General features: G+C 39.9%; 1 protein-coding gene across 84 annotated transcripts in view; it reads right to left on the bottom strand.

Moving 5' to 3' along the window:
• The window catches only part of PPP6R3 (protein phosphatase 6 regulatory subunit 3), a 154,583-nt gene that overhangs the window by 38,205 nt on the left and 95,423 nt on the right, over positions 1 to 20,955 (bottom strand). For 72 of the 84 annotated variants that reach the window (NR_147971.2, NR_147966.2, NR_147967.2 and 69 more), the window contains 7 exons: positions 18,451 to 18,564; positions 12,698 to 12,827; positions 9,964 to 10,116; positions 7,233 to 7,382; positions 6,026 to 6,090; positions 2,906 to 3,021; positions 1,087 to 1,172 (listed from right to left, as the gene is read on the bottom strand). Coding sequence is in view for 77 of the 84 variants with exons in the window: in NM_001352362.2 (NP_001339291.1) it covers positions 1,087 to 1,172; positions 2,906 to 3,021; positions 6,026 to 6,090; positions 7,233 to 7,382; positions 9,964 to 10,116; positions 12,698 to 12,827; positions 18,451 to 18,564 (814 nt within the window). In the remaining 7 variants the exon portion in view is untranslated. The remainder of the gene's footprint in view (positions 1 to 1,086; positions 1,173 to 2,905; positions 3,022 to 6,025; positions 6,091 to 7,232; positions 7,383 to 9,963; positions 10,117 to 12,697; positions 12,828 to 18,450; positions 18,565 to 20,955) is intronic. The other 12 variants (XM_047427225.1, XM_047427228.1, XM_024448601.2 and 9 more) reach the window with 1 other exon arrangement.

Below are 20,955 nucleotides of genomic sequence, written 5' to 3'. Positions count from 1 at the left end.
TAGGTCTATTTTAATTAAATGGCCCCACATAGCTTCCTTTTAATAGTTACCTCAACTTCATAATTCTTCCAACTCTTAATACTTCCTAATTCTATCATTATTCCCCGCTTAAAAAGTGTGACTCTGTCAGGAGTCTGGAAAAAGATGACCATATTTTTAGGCAATCTACAAAGTAGGGGGCACAGCCCTCCAGGGAGTGACACAGGAGGACCAAGTGGCTGCTCTCTGGCTTTCAGAGCCTGCTTCCCTGTTGCTTCAGGCTGCCAGATCATTGAATTCCTAACAGTCAAGGTGTTACTGCATATTAGAAATTCAAGACTGCCACTGCCAAATTTGAAATATAGAATTAAACGCCAAACATAAACACTTCAATGTCGAGTCACGTGCTGCTTCTGTCTAAGCAAAGGCCACCCCTCGACTATCAGCTGGCATGTACTTGTAAAAGGAAATGCTTTCCCCATCTTTAAAAGCAGAAAAAAGCAATACTTACCTTAAAACTTAAATGTGTTTAAAAACCAAAAAATACATTCCAAAGTCCAATATAATTTTTAAAAAAATTATCAATGCCATTATTCCCTGGCTCAAAGTCCCAATTCTGGTAAAAAAATTTTAAAGCTGGGGTTTCAAAGTCATCTACAAAATATTCCCCCATTGGGAATGATGTAAAACGAGGGTATACTCAACTCAATAATATCAGAAAAATATCCAACTGAATCTTTCGCTTTCCTAAGCACCCAGGGTTATCAGTGGCATGTGGCCACAAACCCAGCAGAATGAAAGGAAGGCAAGAGGCTGTTGAGGTGCTCGGCAGCAGGGCATGGAGGGAAATGGACACTAAGTAGGATGTGGAGCAGAAATCAGTGACTTCTCAATATCCTTCTGTCATCCCAGGCAGGTAATTAGGAGTGGACTAGACAAATGGGCAAGAATATTGTGAATACTGACCTCTCTCCCTGGTAAAGAGATAAGAATTTATCTTTGGCTCACAGTTACTGAGGTAAATGGAAGATCTTTTACATCTTTCTGAATAAATGGGCAAAGGCTAAGAGCACTGAAAGAATAAAAATGTAACCTTGTAAAACCTACTAGATCTACCGTGTTCCTCTTGTTAGTTTCTCCTAAGGAGCTTGTGCAGAACGTCTCCCATCGTTCCCTGACTTCGTCGGGAAGATCTTCAGAGTGAGAAAAGCAAAAAAGCATTATCACCACAATGACCTCCACGGAGACAAATAAAGTAAGCAGGTAATATAAAAGTGGGCCTACTCACCTGGTTCATCAATGGTGAGCAGGCCCTATCAGCTGAGAAACTGGGTGACAGCCAGCCCAGTGCTCTTAGAGAAATGGAATTATTAAACCTTCCATAGGCCCAAATCCCATGGACTTTCAGGAACCAGAATCCCCCTACCCAATGGTATAGGCTTGATGAGGCCAAGAGCCCTAAGGTAGCTTGTGAACTTAACAAGTTTCTGAAAATGCTCTGGTAGAAGCTTAACCTGGAAAGTGTGTTTCCAACAAGCTTTTCTGAGAAAGGTGGTAGGTGTTTAACGTGTCGGGGGTAGGGGGATCTTTTTCCATGGTCAAGTTAAGTCTAGAAAATGCTGCAAATGACAGCTCCTGCACACTTTCTTGAAATGCTCTCATTGGCAGCTGGCCAATGAATGTTCCACAGAACCTAGTATGGCTTTTCAAATTGCTCTAAGATCATGTTTCCTAAATATTTGTGTCATGGGCCAACGTGGATACACAGGTAATAGTGAAATTCTACCTTCTAGAGAAATGTTAAAGAAAAGGATAAACAACTGCTTTTCTGAGAAAATCAAACCATGACGTAATTTTAGAGGCCTAACTAGTCATCTGATAATTCTGGTTTAAAACAGCCATGCATGTGTGCACACTCACAGAAGTGTACACATGTACCACCTGGCAAGCAGCTTCCATAAAGGAAAGTCTGATCTAAAAACTCAGTCATATCACATGGCCATTTCTTCTTAGTTAGGACATAAAGATAAACTGTGTGGTGAAATGGCCCAAGGAAGAGGCTTATACCTCTTATGCCTCTCTCAAGAAGCAAAATTAGAAGTGGGCACACACCACTTTTTCCATCCCTGGTGACAACTGTGGTTTTAGTGCACATTCAACAGGGAATAGCCTCTTGAACAAACAAACATTCTTAAGAAAAAATGGAAGACCCACTGGGAAATGATTTTAACTGAACAAATTCTGTACCATGGATGTTAAAGACTGTTCACATTCAGAATAGGTCTCAGGATTGGTAATCCTGTTGGTACAAAAACCCAGAGTACACAGTTCTCTCATTTTAGAAGAAGGCTCATGGCTTGGGGCCAGTGTAAAAAAGCATCCATATAGTTTCTTCCAAATAAGCTTGGGCTGATTAAACTGAAATGCTATACAGAAAGAGTCCTTTAGAAGCCAATACCCCTCATTTTAGTGACAGCGACATCAAAGAAATGCTGATAAATGCCCTAATATTCCAGTTAAAGAAACTTAATTCAGAGGCTATATAGAGGCCTTCAGAAAATAAAAGGCAAAATTATAGCTGAAGTGGCTCAACTGCTAGCATATGAGTACTTCACACTCACAATACTCAAAAGCATGATTCACCAAGCAATGCTCTTTAAGAATGACAATAGGTGACTCTTATATGCTGAATCCAGCCAAGCCTGCCAATGCTTATGGAATGGTCTGTAACTACATGAACATAAATACAACCAAAAAACAACACTGTTCAAACACATTCTCAAGAACCTCATTCAAATACATAATTTGCCAAATATAAAGAAGTCCCACAAATCACTATTAAAAATGCTACATGCATTTCTACTTGACCCTTAAATCCTTCCTGCAACCCAACAAAAATGTAATTCAAATTTCACAAATAACTTACCTTTGATAAGCTGCTGCACTAATGCACTGTTGGGGCCCTTGTCAGTGCTGTGCACGATACAGTTAGCTATCCTCGTTAGGTGTCCCATGTAACCATGCCGTCTTCCTCCCTCAGCCCTGACAAGAGGTAAAGGACAAATACTCAGATTCCTGATAGGATGAAGTGATGAAACACTCGGTAAATACTGCGGACTTTTAAACAATCATTTTAAACCCTGAAGGCACTGAAGAAAATGACGATGGACAGAAAAGAAAAGAAAAACAAAGGAATGGAAGGTGCCAGAATATGACCATGCAGCATGGTCAGGGAGGGGTGTGAAATTGTAAAAGATTATATGGCAGCCTCAGTCAACAGGCCACAGTTTATTCGAATCTCAAAAATCATCACTCACTGTCAATAACACATTATTTTTTAAAAGATCAAATAAACCTTCTCTGATGCCTAATGTTATTGTGATTTTATTTTACATCTTTTTAATGAAACTTTTTCAAACCTTAATCAGATTATAAGGAACTGAGGTAAGAATTCTGCTGGTTCATTTTCTTAAAAGATAGCAAATTTTTATTATATCAATGAATAGAAATAATTATCTACCAATGACATGTCTCAAGTTAAGATATTAGCTGATGTGAGACTTGGCCAAGATAGGAGACAGTCAACTAGTACTTGACCATACACCATTCTGAACACATGCAAACAAACAGTCTTTGTCCTTTTCCCATTTAAGGTCTCATCTTCCCAACCATGATCAATCTTTACACTTAATTCGTATCAGGCCAGGCACAGTGGCTCACGCCTGTAATCCCAACACTTTGGGAGGCCAACACAGGTGGATCACTTGAGGTCAGGAGTTTGAGACCATCCTGGGCAACATGGCAAAACCCCATCTCTACTAAAAATACAAAAATTAGCCAGGCGTGGTGGTGCACACTTGAAATCCTAGCTACTCAGGAGGCTGAGGCAGGAAAATTTCTTGAACCCGGTAGGCAGAGACTGCAGTGAGCCAGGATTGTGCTACTGCACTCCAACCTGGGTGACAAAATAAGACTCCGTCTCAAAAAAAAAAAAATTATATATATATATATATATATATATATATATATATATATAAAATAAGTAAACTCATATTAATCTGATTTCTCTACCTATTTACAAAGTGCCAAGATTTTAAGCTCTATCAAACGAAAGATTTTTGACTGCAGATAGCAGGGAACAAACACTGCAGAGATTTTTGCTTAGAGAGAGAAAAGCCTTTCAGGAGCAATAAGAAAAAAAAAACATCCTATGCTTGAAGGCTTGCTTGGAAAATAAAGTATCTGCTAGAGAATCTTAGAGGGCTTGGGGGTGCCTAAGGGTAAGAAGTACAGGGTTGATTATTTAGGTAGAGACAAGGTCTTGCTTGTCATCCAGGCTGGAGTGCAGTGGTGCAATCACAGCTCATTGCAGCTTCAAACTCCTGGGCTCAGGCAATTCTCTCACTTCGGCCTCTTGAGTAGCTGGGACTATAGGCAAGTACCACCACATCCGGCTAATTTTTTGTAGAGCCAGGATCTCCCTATGTTGTCCAGACTGGTCTCGAACCCCTGGCCTCAACCAATCCTCCCATCTCAGCCTCCCAAAGCAGTGGGATTACAGGCATCTCCCACCGTGCCTGGCCAGAGTCAATCTTCACTGAGTTGCTCAGAGTCTCTTTTAGTTCTTCAGTAAGATCCAGAGAGCCAGGTGTTACCTACAGGCAACTGAGTCACTCTTCTGCACACCCTCAAGTACACAAGTGAAAGAAAACAAAGGCCCATCTCTAAGGTGACCCACAGCTTCAAACTGCTTCAGGCTGTTGTGCAAGGAAACAAGGAAAGTTCTTTCGGGATCCCCCTAGACAGAGGGAATGGTATTCACCAGGCCTCCAGAAAACGGGACTCACCAGGAGAGCAGGGCACAAAGGATATCTGAGCCCTGGCCAGATGAGGAGGCAGCAAGAAGACTGGAGGTTGGGAAGGACACAGAGAAGCCAAGACGGAGTCAGACATATAACCAGAGATGTCAACTGGGCCACAAACAGCATCTCCAAAGAGCTCCATTTGGAAGAATGTATCTGAGGTCTACCAATACTAGCCCCTTGCCACAAACAAACAAACAAAATGCCAATTTCCCACATGAAGCCAAATCAAAACCCTAGTAGCAGTGCTTATTAAACGATTTAAAAAAAAAAAATCAAACCTCACAAAGTAAGGCTGACTCCCAAGAGTCATCTAGCTTTCCTGGAGACACAGAGACACATAACAAGAATGCTGGGAAATGATCAACTACAAAGGACCATGAGAGAAATTTTGGGGGTGACAGAAATGTCTTGATTGTGGTGATGGTGACTTCAGGCATCAGTCAGAATTCCTAGGAATGTACACCTAAAATGAGCTTTACCATATGAGAATTATATCTCAATAAACCTGTCTTAAAAACAAACACAGAAGCATGCCTTCAGAGTGTTTCCCAAACACGCCCTTATGCCACCATGCTTCAGAATCTACGGGGTGACATAAAGGCTTCCAGGGCACTAGAGAGGAATGCTGTTACAGACAACACCTGTAAGAAAACGTTTTGTGTAACAAAGCTACTTACATGTATCAACTAATACTTCACATAACCTTGCCAATCAGCTAACAAACATTTTCTAAAAAGAAAACACTGAGCAATTTTTTTCCTCTAGGTCCCTGTACAAAGCAACTCTTCTCTACAATGAAAATATGTACGTGATACCTTCTGTTCTGAGCATAAGGTGACCAGGACAAATACACTAAGTCACATCATCAAGGACTTAACTTTAACCTTATAACTCTTAGAACAGTAGCCATTCAAAAAGGACCAGGAAGTTTCAAAGGCAGCACAGAGGTGGGGAACACTCCGAACTCACTTGTTTTGCCCCAAAAACAAGAGGACCTAACAAGAAATTATTAGTATTATAAAAACAACTGTTACAATGAAATAATCTGGGGAAAAGTTTAAATTGTAAAATGGCCAGTATCATGTAATTATTTCCATTTTTTTCTGACTAGGGCAAGGAGGTATTATTTTCCTCATATTACCAACCAAACTGAATTCCTTTCAAAAAAACAATTTACTTACTGTTTCTTCTCATTCATTTCCCAGGCTTCAAGTATTCGTTCTATTAATTGACATTTTTGGAAAAGCTGAAAAAAAAAAAAAGAATATTCCAGTTAATACTTCAAAGCATCAAAACTTTAAAGTGAAACAGAACTCTAGGTTAAAGAGAATAGTAGTATGCATAATCTAGCAAGCTAAATGTTACTAAGCCAAATGCAATGTGATCATCAATCTACTGCAGACACCCACAACACTACAGAGATTCAAATCAGGATCCACACCCTCCACAGAACATCTACAGGAAACTCAGTATTATAGGTAGTGCAGTTAACTACCTATAGTTAACTATAAAGGAAAGCCAGGTTTTATTAGCTGTGAAAATTCAGAACAGAAATATAAAACCTGAGCTAAATTAAAATGGAATAAAGAAAACTATGCCTTGGCAAAAATTTAACTTAGAATCCAAAGTAATGCTTGTACTTTTAAAATGTGAGCACGTCTTACTTCCAGATGAACTAACATTACTGCATTAATATTAAAAACAGGTGGGTTTTGCCCAAAGTCTGCAAGTCAGTGACAACTGCTGTAGGCTGCAATACTGGAATGTGCAGGGCTAGTTCTTCTCAGGTGTCATTTGTCTTTCCCATCAACTTGGCTGTTCCAAGCTAGCCTTTTCTACATTTTAGGTTTGCGAGTAAACCAAGTGTGGGCTAGAAATTTTAAAAGTACCATAGAACTACCAAGCAAGAAAAAATCTGAAGACTGACTTAGTAAAATTATCTCATATTTGACAGAAGAGAAAAAGAGACCCCAGGAAGACTCTCAACATCACAAAGAACTCAGTTCTCCTGACTTTCAGTCACGTATTCAGCAAAGAAACTACACTCTGGTCAGCCAAATAATAGTGCAAATGTTTTCCATAGTATTTAAATTTCTATGATTCTTCAAATCATCAAAGAATTTATATATCTTCAAACCTATTAATTTTACCAAATAAGGAGGCCACTTAGCTTTTTTCTTACAAGACTGTTCATTTAATAGTTATTTGTCCAGTACTTGATTTATATAATGATTTATATGTTAAAAGTGAAACGAACACATGATTGTCAAATATTTAGACTCTGAAATCTAACCTCAAGCCCTTTAAACCTCAATTCACATCACAGTCAAGTGGAAAACTGCTATAACCAGGAGAGAGTGGGAGAAAAACGAGACCAAATAAGCTTACATGTTTTAATAACAAATTATCACCAGTGGAGTCTTGATCGGTAATTGTGGCATTTTCTGTGTTTTCAAAAGGACTTGCAAGAATCAGTGCAATACAAATTTCCACTTGTGTATGCAAAAAGTTATTCCATGTATACTTGAAGAACATGTTCTACAAAAAAGAAAAACCATGTTTTATTCGGTTACCTCAATGTTTAAGCCAATACTTAAATACATTTACAGAACAGTGATTTAATAAAGTAAAAATGATGTGCTCTCAGTCCAAAAGGACCAATTAAAAGGAACCTGAGTTCACATTAGTACTTGCATAACCACAGTTTCATTTTCTGTGGTTTCAGTTACCCACAGTCAACCATGATCTGAAAATAGGTGAGTATAATACAGTAAGACATGCTAATCCAAGAGATGACATTCACATAACATTCATTACAGTATAGATTTATAATTGTTCTACTTTATTATTAGTTATTATTAATCTCTTCCTGTGCTTAATTTATAAATTAAACTTTGTCACAGGTATGTATAGGAAAAACACATAGTATATATAGGGTTCGATAGCTGTGGTTTCAGGCATCCAAAGGAGTCTTGGAAGGTATCCCTCATAAATAACGAGGACTAAATGGGGATGTGAAGTATTGCTTTAGAGCCTAAATGGCGTGCTATCTGCTTATCTGACATGCCAGAACTGGTATGGAATCTAGTAAAAAACCAACAACAAACATACAAAGACAAGAGTACGTTTCTCCAAGAGAAAGGGAGTATCTTTTTTCTCTTCAAAGCAACTAACACAAATAGTTAGCGTGGTAAATTTTCTATAATTTTCAAAAAAATTTATAAGAGGCCAGGCGTGGTGGCTCATGCCTGTAATCTCTGCACTCTGGGAGGCCGAGGCGGGCGGATCACGAGGTCAGGAGATCAAGACCATCCTAACACGGTGAAACCCCGTCTCTACTAAAAATACAAAAAAATCGCTGGGTGTGGTGGCGGGCGCCTGTGGCCCCAGCTACTCAGGAGGCTGAGGCAGGAGAATGGCGTGAACCCAGGAGGCGGAGCTTGCAGTGAGCCAAGATCACTGCACTCCAGCCTGGGCGACTGAGCCAGACTCCATCTCAAAAAAAAAAAAAAATTGTAAGAATTTCATTTTGATGCAACAAATATTTACTGATGGTTTTTGTGCAGGGTATTGTATGAGATGCAACATGGCAGACAGAGATACACAAAAATACGGTCCACAGTCTTGAGGTGCTCATGACTCAACTCCAGCATACAAAAACTAGAGCTATCAGCAAAAACAAATGAGGATACGAGAGGCAGTAACGTGAATCTCCTGGAAGTACAAGGGTTTTCAAATTACTTGAAAAGGTAATAGCATTACAAAAGGGAAAGAATTTCTAAAAGTACAAAATGCCATATTTTGGAAGTCAATTTAGTATGTCATATTTAGGAAATGGTTGGGTCTGGTTATCTAATCTCAAAATGAAGAAGTAATGAGTAACTCCTCCAGTAGTCTCATCAAATTTAGTCTCATCAGAAGTAGTCCTAAAGATTAACAGAATAAATTAACAATAACTGTATATTGTTATTAGTAAAATTAAAGACCAGTGATCAATGACTTAGGAACGTTATATTCCCGGAGTTTTATACACTAGAAGGTAGGACAAAAACTACGTCCCCAGAAGGCAATGACCATGCTAGCTATCAAAGAAACTGTAATTCTTTAAATCTTCATCTCTTTTTCCAAATTGCTCCTGTTTTCTGTGCTCTATACTGATTTAACCCAAAGCTGAAACCTAACAAAAATATCTCGGTGACGCTAGGAAGCACAATGATGTGGTTGATAAAGCACGTATGGGTTTGAAATTGGGTGAATTCAAATCTTGGCTTCACCGCTCACTAGCCATGGAATGTATCCTCTCTCTGGGCATGATCTGAAAAACACATCCTCTCTCTCACTGTAATGTTCACCCGAGGGTCCTGGAGATCACCCAGGATCACATGAATAGTGTACATAAGATGAACATTACAATGCCTGTCATACAGTGAACAAACACCTCCTTTGAAACACCCCCACATCTCCCCCAAATATATGATGTGACCAGATGTCTTGTGAAACCTGCTAAAGTGTTAACCCTCGCGCTTTCTGTGCTGTGGGTGGCAGCACACAGAGAAGAAGCATGGGCTCCAGAGCTGGGCCTATGGATTCTAAGCACAGACTCTGAAACTGGGGAATTCAGGGGTCAGGGAGACCTAAATCATCCCTGGGCTTTTCCTTCTCCTTCCATCAGTAAGCAGGCTAATAACTGTGTCTCAAGGAAGAGTCAATCCAGACTCAAATCAATTAAGACCATATGGCGTCAGGTACGTTATACAGATACCTCCCAGTGGCAAGAAGATAAAGGTTTGTCCCCTCACTAAATATGAACAGAAAACAATGCTGCACCCAGCAGTCATTGTCCACGAGACGGAGCACGAGGGAAAAGCCGATGTCTCTTAATCATCTTCAAAATCCTATGTTACAATTCTTTATATAAAGCAACAGTAGATGCCTAGTGAACAATTATAAGCATTCGAAATTTATAATAAACTCAAGGCAAAAACTACATAAAACACCATTTATGCTCAGACCAAGAAAAGTCACTGACATAATGTAAATTTGTAAGGTTGTAACTTGGTTAAATATCCATGAAATATCAATGGCAAATTAAAATGTCTGTGAGCAGGGAAAATCTCACCAATATGACTCCAATGCTATTCAGCTCCATAAGGTCCCCATTTATACTGCTGGTATTGGTTTGAAGCAGGCTGGATATCAACCTAATGACATTCAACCGGGTATTCCCCACAGGAGGATCCAGCACACCCCATGTGGTCTTCATCACACTTTTCTGAAGAAGAAAAAGCTTTCCAATTAAATTCAGTTAAATGAACAAAGCAAATGGTGTATTTGCTAAGACATGACACTAGTTTAAACCCTGCAAACAACATGGCCTGAATTTTACACCTGAAACAACATCTAAAGCTGCTCTTGATATCTTTAAGATACAATGAAATAACCAAGCAGGAAAAAGGAAAAAAAAGCAAGGAATTTCCCTGGATCATAAATTTTATAAGAAATCAAGTGTCTCCCTGCCTCAACATTCCAAGCTGTTATGAGAAGAAAGCAGAAGGCTACAGAATATCCTAGGAAAAAGTACAATATTTCAAAATCTGACCAGAAATCTAAACTAAAAGAAGTTATGGCCGGGCACAGTAGCTCATGCCTATAATCCCAGCACTTTGAGAGGCCGAGGTGGGTGGATCGCTTGAACCCAGGAGTTTGAGACCAGCCTGGGCAATATGGTGAGACCCTGTCTCTACAAAAAATACAAAAATTAGCCAGGCATGGTGATGCACACCTGTAGTACCAGTTACTCAGGAAGATGAGGTGGGAGAATCACCTGGGCCTGCGGAAGTTGAGGCTGCAGTGAGCTGTGATTGTGCCATTGTACTCCAGCCTGAGCAAGAGTGAGACACTGTCTCAAAAAAACAAAAAAAGGAAGAAGGAAGAAAAAAGGAGGAGGAGGAGGAGGAAAGAGAAGGAGGAAGGAGGAGGAGGAAGGAAGAATAAAGAAGAAGAAGAAGTGGTAGTAGTAGCAACAGCAGCAGCAGCAGCAGCAGCAGCCGTGGTGGTGGTGGTGGTAGTAGTTGCTACAAGTGGTTTTGGAATACAATCCTCAGTCTGAGCCAAATCTGTGATAAAAATGCAAATTCAGACGTTGCCTCTGGATCACAAACCTGAAATGTGATCAATCTAAACCTGTTCTTGTCCATCAACAGGAGTTTCTATAGCCTGAAATCACAAAAGTAGAAGCAGAACATTTCCTAACTTTAGAAGTCTGAGAGGCAAGGGTGGCACGTAACAGCCTAGGGCAGGCTGCCCTTTCTGCCCCTCCCCATCCACATCAGTAGCCTCACTCCCTCTGGCTCCCATCCTCCCGAGGACTCACAGAGCTGTAAGGCCCACAGTTCTGCTCTCTATGGAAAACAGCTCTAATTGGCAGGCTTTGTAAAAAACTTCATGGATCTACTTACAGACACATCATACAGTAAAACCAGGTGCAAACGGTACTCCGAGACAGACATATCATACAGTAAAACCAGGTGCAAACGGAACTCACTCAGTTCTCGGAGTAACAGAGAAGTCCAAACAAGACACTGCCTTACTTTTGAATCGGGGCCCAGAACCAGATGCCACCTGTTTGTCCACCCAGAAAGAAGATGGGTGGGCCACCTAAGACACAGGTCAGGCCCTTCCTCACACACCTTCTTCCCTGTCAGATCCTTCTCCCACCTCCGTCTTCCACTTGTGATGTTCTCTCCTCTTCTAAATCTTTTCTTTTTCTTTCCTTACTCTGTTTTTCTTCCCAGGACTGGCATGAAGGATGCCACTGACCATCATTGTCAAACACCAACAGAGGCACTTTCCCTAAGGGCAAGCACCAACACTATGGTCCACATCCAACACAGGCTGAATGCAGATAAGATGTGGCTGGAATGGAACCAGCAGAGTAACGCAAACTGTGAGCACAGTGATGGAACCACGACCTGCTCACCAATGGCATCAGGTATCTGAAAAGATGATCTGGAGCTGAACTAGACTCCCTTGGTTATATAAGTTATCCTGTGCTCCCCCAACTCCAAATAGTTAAATAAACAGAAAACATCTAATTTACAAGTGAGAAACTAGTATTCTAAATTCCCAATAACTCGCACAGTAGATAACCACCGAGATACACCAGATTCAATGATATAGGGCAGGAAAAAAAAGGAAACTTAAGAACTGTTGCTGGGAACAGAACTCACATGGAACTGAATCTTCCACCCTAGACTCCAAAAGCAAGTGATTATCACCCTAATCTAAATCTGTATCAATCCAAGGGGCGAAAGAACACCATTTATAGACTGCTGACAAAACTCTTGTGGGTCTTCACTGAGGAAACAGTCATTTAAAATTAGCACATGGGAGGCTCTGTACTGAAAAACCCCCAAATCATATTCTCTCCAAATTGTATACTAACTTCAACCTACTCTTTCTTAAATAAGGTCGACTATACATCAGACATACACTGCTCCAACTCTGAGTAAGAAAACATAATTTCAAAGATCCGTTTCTGAAAGATTAGCTTTTCCTGAAACATTCAAAAATAATATGCTACAAGAAGAAAATTCTTTTTTCTTTACTGGCATGTAAGTACCCAAGAATTTACAGAAGAATGAAAAGGTAAACTTCCTAAACTGATGAATATTTTGTTTAATTCTCCATTCTCCACTCAAAAGCAGTAAAAATCACTGGCAGTGTTATCTTTTCACTCATTTTGTACATGCAGACCACAGCCAGTTCTGCCACTCCTAAGGCCCGTACACATTCGAATGACTGTTTCAACCAAATTACTCGCTGGGCAGCCATGCTTAACATAGCTCCCCTACCTTGGGTGGCTCCAGCAGGAGTTCATGAAAAGATCCAAGTCTTCCTCTGATGGCTTCTAGAACACTCTTGTTTACTGAACAAGCTGAATGGCTCATGCCTGGTGGGCAGATCTCTATATGGCCTTCAAATCTTGAAACAAAGCAAGGAATTTTAGTTATTATAATTTCAGAACAAATCATTCAAGGTTATCGACCATGTATGTCTTTACTTAATGATTATATCAACTTTTCTGGCTGCGGGAAAAAAGGCTAGGAAAAAAGCATAATGAGGCAGAAGAGGGTTAATGAAACCTCCATGAGGCTCAGACTCTATAACCTGCAACCCAAACAGCTACAGTATCAGGTAAGAAATTACATGTGATTTCTTCCCATTCTAAACCTTCTAAGTCTTCATAACTATTATACAGTAACAAGTCTCTAAGTGACCAGGAAATTTGGAAAGCGAAAGGGATCCAACCTCTGGATTATAGGGCACCCCAAATTGCCTGCCAGTTTGGGGTGTTATTAATGAACAGGCCTATACTTGTTCCATACAGTTTTTCTTAGATAATCAACATTATTTCCTATTTAAAAGGTTTAAAATTATTCTACATAAAGTTCAATCTATACTCATTATAACCTACTTCTTGCAGGAAAACAATTACAGGTAGAATGAGAACTGGGTAAATACTCAAGGATAAGAATTCTGGGTGACATTATGAATGTTTAACTTTCTAAGAACTGACAAACATTTCTATGAAGTGGCTGTATCACTTTCCATTCCCAACAGTAATGTGTGTGACTTCCAGTTGCCCTGCATACTGCACTGAGTACTGTCTATTCTGTCTGTCTGGTTTAGCTAAGTAGTGGGCTGAATGATGCTCTCCTACCCAAAACATACGTCCACATTCTAATACGTAGGGCCTGCAAATGTCACCTTCTTTGGAAAAAAGATCTCTGAAGATGAAATTAATTAAAGATCTTGAGATGAAAGATTATCCTAGATTACCCAGGGGGGCCTTAAATGCCATCATAACTATGCTTCGAAGAGAGAAGAGGCAAGACAGACACACAGAGGGGAAGGCAATGTAAAGAGGATGCAGAGGGGTCACAAGCCAAGGAATGCCAAGAACTACTAGAAGCTGGAAGAGGAATGCCTTAGTATCTCTGAAAGGAATCTAGCACCACCAACACCTTGATCTTAGACTTCTAGGACTCAGAACTGTGAGAGGATAAATTACTGCTTTGTTTTTGTTGTTTCCTGGGCTCAAGTGATCCTCCTCCCTCAGCGTCCTATGTAGCTGGGACTACAGGCACATGTCACCATGCCTGGCTTTTTTTTTTTTTTTCGGTAGAGATGGGGCCTTCTCAAGTGATCCTCCCCCCTCAGCCTCCCAAAGTGCTAGGCATGAGCCACCATATCCAGCCTAGGTATTCTTCATATACCTGGATGTAAGTCTTTTCTCACACGTTATCAATATTTTCTGGCAGTCTGTGACCTATCTTTTAATTTTCTTAACAGAGTCTCGGAGCAGAATTTTAAAATTTTAGTGTAGTCTGAGTTATCAACTTCTGTTTTATGAATTGGGTTTTGGCAATGTATCTAAACAATCTGTACATGACTCTGAGACAAAGATTTTCTCCTGTTTGCTTCTAGAACTACTAGTTTTATGTCTAGTTCTATCATCCATTTTGAGTTAATTTTTGCATAATCTGCAAAATATATATCAAAGTCCAACGTTCTGCATAGAATACCTAACCATTCAGGACGATTTACTGAAAACGCTGTCCTTTCTCCGCTGAACTGCCCCCATGCCTCTGTTAAAAACCGCCTGATCATGGGGATGGGTCTACTTCTGGACTCTGCTCTGTCCCAGTGATCTGTATGTCTATTCTTTCACCACACTGTCCTGATTGCTGTCGCTTTGTATTAAGTCTCAAAATCAGAGTGTGAGTCCTTTTCTCTTGCAAAATTGTTTTGGCTACTGTACTTTGATTCTTGTGCAAGTTTTAGAATTCACTTGATTTCTAAAAAATCCTGCTTAGATTTTGTTCGGAATTGCATTGAATCTGCAGGTCCATTTGGGGAGAAGTGACATCTTAACAATACTGAGTCTTCTAATCCATGAACAGAGTATTTCTCTCCATTTATGTAGGTCATCTTTGATTTCATCAATATTCTATAGTTTTGGGGCATTAAGCCTTGCACACATTTTGTTAGGTTTGTATCTTAGTATTTTCTTTTCTCTATGCTATAAAAAATAATACTTCGAAAAAATTTCAAATTCCAATTGCTCATTCCTAGTACATAGAAATGCAATTAACTTTTGAGTGCTGACTTCATACTTGCAATCTTGCTAAATGTATTTGTTAGTTCTAGGAGTATGCGTTTTTTTTTTTCTTTAATGTTCTTTAGGATATTCTACAAAGACAATCCTGTCATCTGTAAACAGATGCAGTCTCACATCGCCCCCTCCCCTCTGAATGTAGCAACACAGACTCCATCGCTACAAAACATAAAAAAAATTTGGCTGGACATGATGGCTTGTGCCTGTAGTCCTAGCTACTTCAGGAGGCTAAAGTGGGAAGATCACTTAGGCCCAGGAGATCAAGTCAATAGTAAGCTATGATTGTGCCACTGCACTCCAGTCTGAATGGCAGGCCTTATCTCAAAAAATATAAATAAAATGAAAGAGGGCTTTATCAGTTTTCATCCAAGTTCCCTTCTAATACTAATCTGCTGAGATGTTTTATCATAAAGGAATTTAACAAAATGATGATATGTTTTTTCTTCATTGATCTGATGTGATCAGATCTGCTGTCTGTTGATGTGAAGATTTTGAAGGATGAATGAGCCTTGCATTCCCAAGACAAACCATACTTTGTTATGATATATATTATCCTTACAATATACTGTTAGACTTGATTCACTCATATTTTCTTGAGGAATTTTACATTTCAGCTCTTGTGGCATTTTGTTACTTGCAGTCGGCCCTCTGTATCCACAGGTTCTATGTCCACTGACTCAATTAACTGGAAATCAAAAATATTCAGAGAAAGCTGGGCGAGGTGGTTCACCTAGTCCCAATGACTTAAGAGGCTGAGGCGGAAGGATCATTAGAGCCCAGGTGTTCAAGGCCAGCCTGGGCAACATAGTGAGACTGCATCTCTAAAAAAAGGTGGAAAAAAATGCCAAACAAAAAATAATACTATTTAAAATAATGAAACAGCTTAACATATATCATTTACATTGTATAAGGTATAAGTGGCCGGGCGTGGTGGCTCACGCCTGTAATCCCAGCACTTTGGGAGGCCGAGGGGGGTGGATCACAAGGTCAGGAGATCGAGACCACGGTGAAACCCCGTCTCTACTAAAAAATACAAAAAAAGTTAGCTGGGCGTAGTGGCGGGCGCCTGTAGTCCCAGCTACTCGGGAGACTGAGGCAGGAGAATGGTGTGAACCCAGGAGGCGGAGCTTGCAGTGAGCCGAGATCGCACCACTGCACTCCAGCCTGGGTGACAGAACGAGACTCTGTCTTAAAAAAAAAAAAAAAAAAAAGGTATAAGGAAACCAGAGATGATTTAAAGTACACAGGAGGATATGTGTAGGTTACATGCAAATACTATGCCATTTATACGAGACTTGAGCAACCGCAGATTTTGGTATGCATGGGAGTCCTAGAACCAATCCTCAGCAGATACAGAGGAACAAATATAGCTTTTGTTCCCATGATTTTGTGTAGTTCACTATAGTTTCAAAGTGATGCTGGCTACATAAAATGAGTTGGAAAGAGTTCCCTCTACTGTATTCTGACAGAGTTCTTCCATCTTTGGTAGACTTCACCAATTGAGCCTATCTAGGCCAGGAGTTTTCTTTGTTAAAGGTTTTCAATATAAGTTCAATTTCTTCAACTGATATGGGGCTGCTCATGCTACCTATTTCTTCTTGAGTGATCTTTGGCAATTATTTCCTCTAAGGAAGTTGTCCATCACATATAAACTGCTGAATCTGTTTAATGCATTGTTTGTAGTAGTCTCTTATTATTCATCTGAACTCCACAGGAAACAGTGTTAAAGTCCATAGCACACAGTCATTCCTATTATTTGTAATTTGTCTCTTTTCTACTTTTTTCCTAATTGGGATGGAAGTTTATCAATTTTATTGATTTTTTCAAAGAACGAGCTTTTGGCTTCACTGATATTCTGTATTATTTTTCTCATCTCAAGTCCACTGACTTCTGCTCTGAATTTTATTATTTCTTTCCTTCTGTTTGCCTTGGGTTTAATTTGTCCTGCCTTTACCTTTAATTTGTAAGGTAGGAGCTTAAATCATTGACACACATTCTTTCTTCTTTTCTAATATAACCACTTAATGTTATAAATTTCCTTCTACTGCTTTAACAGCATTCCATAATGCAATGATGGCCTTGTAGCATGAGTAGCAAGAGGGTACTGTACTGCTGGGGTGGGAAGAGGGCACCGTACCGCTGGGGTGGGAAGAGGGCACCGTACCGCTGGGGTGAGAAGAGGGCACCGTACCGCTGGGGTGGGAAGAGGGCACCGTACCGCTGGGGTGGGAAGAGGGCACCGTACCGCTGGGGTGGGAAGAGGGCACCGTACCGCTGGGGTGGGAAGAGGGTACTGTACCGCTGGGGTGGGAAGAGGGTACTGTACCCCTGGGGTGGGAAGAGGGCACTGTATCCCTGGGGTAGGAAGATGGTACTGATTTTCCTAGAAAGAGACAGGTAGGCAAACAACCCCCAAACTACAACATACTTGAAGCAGTGCCATCACACTGCCCTTCCATTAGTATTGACCAAAGATTAGGCAAAGCAGCAACAGAGATCAGGAATTGGGGAAGCAGGGGTTGGTTGGTAAGGTTATCTTCACTATTTTGCTAGAAACCAAAATTACACCGCTAAAAGTAAATCCAGAAACCCTGAATGGCTGAAGTTTCATATGCTAAGGATGCACTCTATCCCTTGCTTAATGAATGAATTTTGGGGTAAAAAATACAAAATTCCAACCTCTACATCACACAATCCCGGAAAACTTATACATACCTCTTCAGATTCTCATGCTCTAAGAGCAGTTAGAAAACTCTGATAATGAGTAAATCTGCACTGGACATAAATTATAAAGAATAACATGACACACATGAAATGGCTGGTCCAGGGGCGAAGGCCACACATGTGAAAAGCAAGACTTTATTTTTGATTATAAAACATGTAGAAGAAATTTGTCCTCAAAGCTCAAGCCACCTGCCCATGCATTTTAAGACAGCCTCTGCTCAAGTGCCCTCAAATGTGAAACCCAGGAAAACACCACCTGAAGGCCTAAGTATCTGCAGAAAGGAATGAAAGGAATCACAAGACAGAGAGACGTTCTGAATGGCCAGGAGAGCTACCCACTGACCAGGAACACCTATTTTTAATTATCATGAGCAAGAAATAAGCTTCTCTGTTTTTCAGCCATTATACATGTTTTTGATTATAGCATTTATTATAGTAAGCATTTTCCTAACTACCACTACCAAAAAAATATATGACTAGAGTCTAAATACTGCCAATAAATAGTGTCACCAAAACATAATTTTCAACTGCATCCCAATATGTGGTATTCATATAAAATTAGGCTATGGTTTATATAGCAGAAGAAGAATCAGCAACTGCAATTCAAAGGTACGCTATTACAGCTTATCCACTAAGAATTTAACTCTTAAATCTGAAAGCAAAACAACATGGTTCATTTTGTAAGATATAAGAAAAGCTTACGTTGGTCGTCGTGTCTCAAGTAAAGTCAGCAATATCTGGATTGCACTGACTATGGCTGACTCATTTTTCTCCTTGTGGAAAATATTTGATAGAAGCTGCTCTATAATTTCTTGCCTAGGGAAACAAATCAATAATCACTAACTGCAGTATCACTTATCACCAACAACCTCAGAAAAAAAGACGACGGTACAAGACAAGCATCACTGAAGAGTTCATACTTGGGCATATTTGTTTTACTATTTTATTTCTATATACTTATTAAAGTAGGCAATTGATCCTATTTATAAATTACACACATGCACCCGCACACAAACACACTCACTCACTCACCCTTCTATCTCTTTCCCTCAGCAAAATAACCTGGGCCATGCTTGTCTTTGCCAATTTTGTCGAGAGCCAACAGAATCTCAAGACCAAGTCACCTCCTACTCAAACCAAGACTCTGATGATGATGATGACTGGGGCTGGGGGTGGCAAGAAGACATAGAACCTTTCACCCTCACTAAAGAAGGGAAAACGTTCAGAAAGGCTAATTAGAACCCATGAATGTTTTCCTACAAAAGCATAAATGTGTAATTAGCAAAGATCTAAAACAGAAAAAAGAAAACATCAGTTGTTGCATTTTACTCTACAAATAAAATTTGAAAAAGCAAAATAAAATGGCAGCAATGAAATAAATGTGACTAAATTAAATGTCCAAAAAGCATTATCTGCAGGCTCTTTCCATTACACTTCTCTCATACATAGTAAGATAACAATTAACATAAACCAGTTCATTGAATTTATATGAACATTCTCAAGGAAAACTTTAGTTTCTTAGCCTCTCAGTAATTTTCGAAATCCATGTGAATTAAGAAATGGACGCCAGGTGCAGTGGCTCACGCCTGTAATCCCCACACTTTGGGAGGCCGAGGCAGGCGGATCACAAGGTCAGGAGTTCGAGACCAGCCTGACCAACATGGTGAAACCCCATTTCTACTAAAAAACACAAAAATTAGCCGGGCCTCGTGGTGCACGCCTGTCATCCCAGCTAATCAGAAGGCTGAGGCAGGAGAATCGCTTGAACCCAGCAGGCAGAGGTTGCGGTAAGCTGAGATCGCGCCACTGCACTCCAGCCTGGGTGACAGAACGAGACTCCACCTCAAAAAAAGAAAAAAGAAAAAAAAGAAAAAGAAAAGAAAAAGAAATGGAATCTCCCTTACAGTGTGACATGCAGCTGGGTTGTCCTTGGTTGCTCACCTGACACCTCATCCCAAGGTATAGCTGTGTTCAGTGTACTGTACACCAGTTCCTTGATCACCTCTTGCCAACGTAGGGCAGGAAATAGGAGAGAATCTCTTTCTATTTTGGGGAAACAAAACTAGTATCTAACCTAACTTGAGAAGGTCCCCTTGCAAGAAGAGGTTTTTCAAGTACTCTCAGACCAGCAATAATTGCTTGTGAGATCTCTCACCAAAAGAGTACTATAAAAGTCACTTAACACACAGCAGTCTATACACTAACTATTAGGTCTGGAACCAAGCTCTGGAAAACAAACTATCTTTTAAAATAAATATGTTTTTCTTTCAACAGCAGCCTCACCCCAGGTGGAGGGGTACTGACAGCATGTGACTGTGGAGGTCCACACTCTCTTCATTCAACCATAGCGCTCTTACTCATCAGAGGGCACTGTCACTTTCGTCAATACAGATGCCTGAAGATGGCTAACAGAGGCCCTAGCCATTTCACCGCTGTGTCAAATTGGAAGTCTACTGTATCCATGAAAGAATTCTACTAATGGACAAGAAAAACATAATAACCAGCGAAAACTTGACAGTCAAAATACAATACCACAATAGCTACGCCATCTTCTGAGTTTTACCTAAACACGCAAGTATCACCAAACCCAGAAGAAATAATAAACCAAAGGACTGAAGCTTATCAAACAAAATAAAAGGAATGCCTTCACATTCTTTCAATAAAAAGATATTTAATTACATGCGAGAAAATATATTCATTTTCACATTTTAAAAAATAGCAGTTTCTGGATAGACATCACTAAAACTCATGATATGAGCTGTTTCCTGCATGAAGCCATCCAGGTTCTTTATCCCTGCCTTTGGGACAATGGCTCATTGTTTTTTTTTTTCGTTTTTTTTTTTTTTAATGAGAAATTCACTTACAAAAAACCAACTGGCTCAAGTGAATGGGATCAAACCCAACTTGTTATAAGGTCATTAGTATCAAGAATTCAGATACAGAGTCTATTCTAACATAACTGTTTTTAAAAAATTTTTGAACTTCAAAAATTTCCAGTCACTAAATAAAATGCATTCAATTTAAGCCCAGATTGCTTCCCAAGCCAAACATTCTTTATTTAACACTTCAGTCCGCTTTCTGAGATTTCTTGGTACCTGCTCTTTAGCATCTTCTTTAACCTTAGCTCATTTCAAATTTTTCCATATGTGCTATCTGTGCTTAACATTTATGCATGTGATGTTCATATATACAGTGGAGTCCACACTG

This window comes from Homo sapiens, chromosome 11 (genome assembly GCF_000001405.40).
Source record: "Homo sapiens chromosome 11, GRCh38.p14 Primary Assembly".
Lineage (NCBI taxonomy): Eukaryota > Metazoa > Chordata > Mammalia > Primates > Hominidae > Homo > Homo sapiens.
This window is presented reverse-complemented; position numbering and strand designations above follow the sequence as displayed.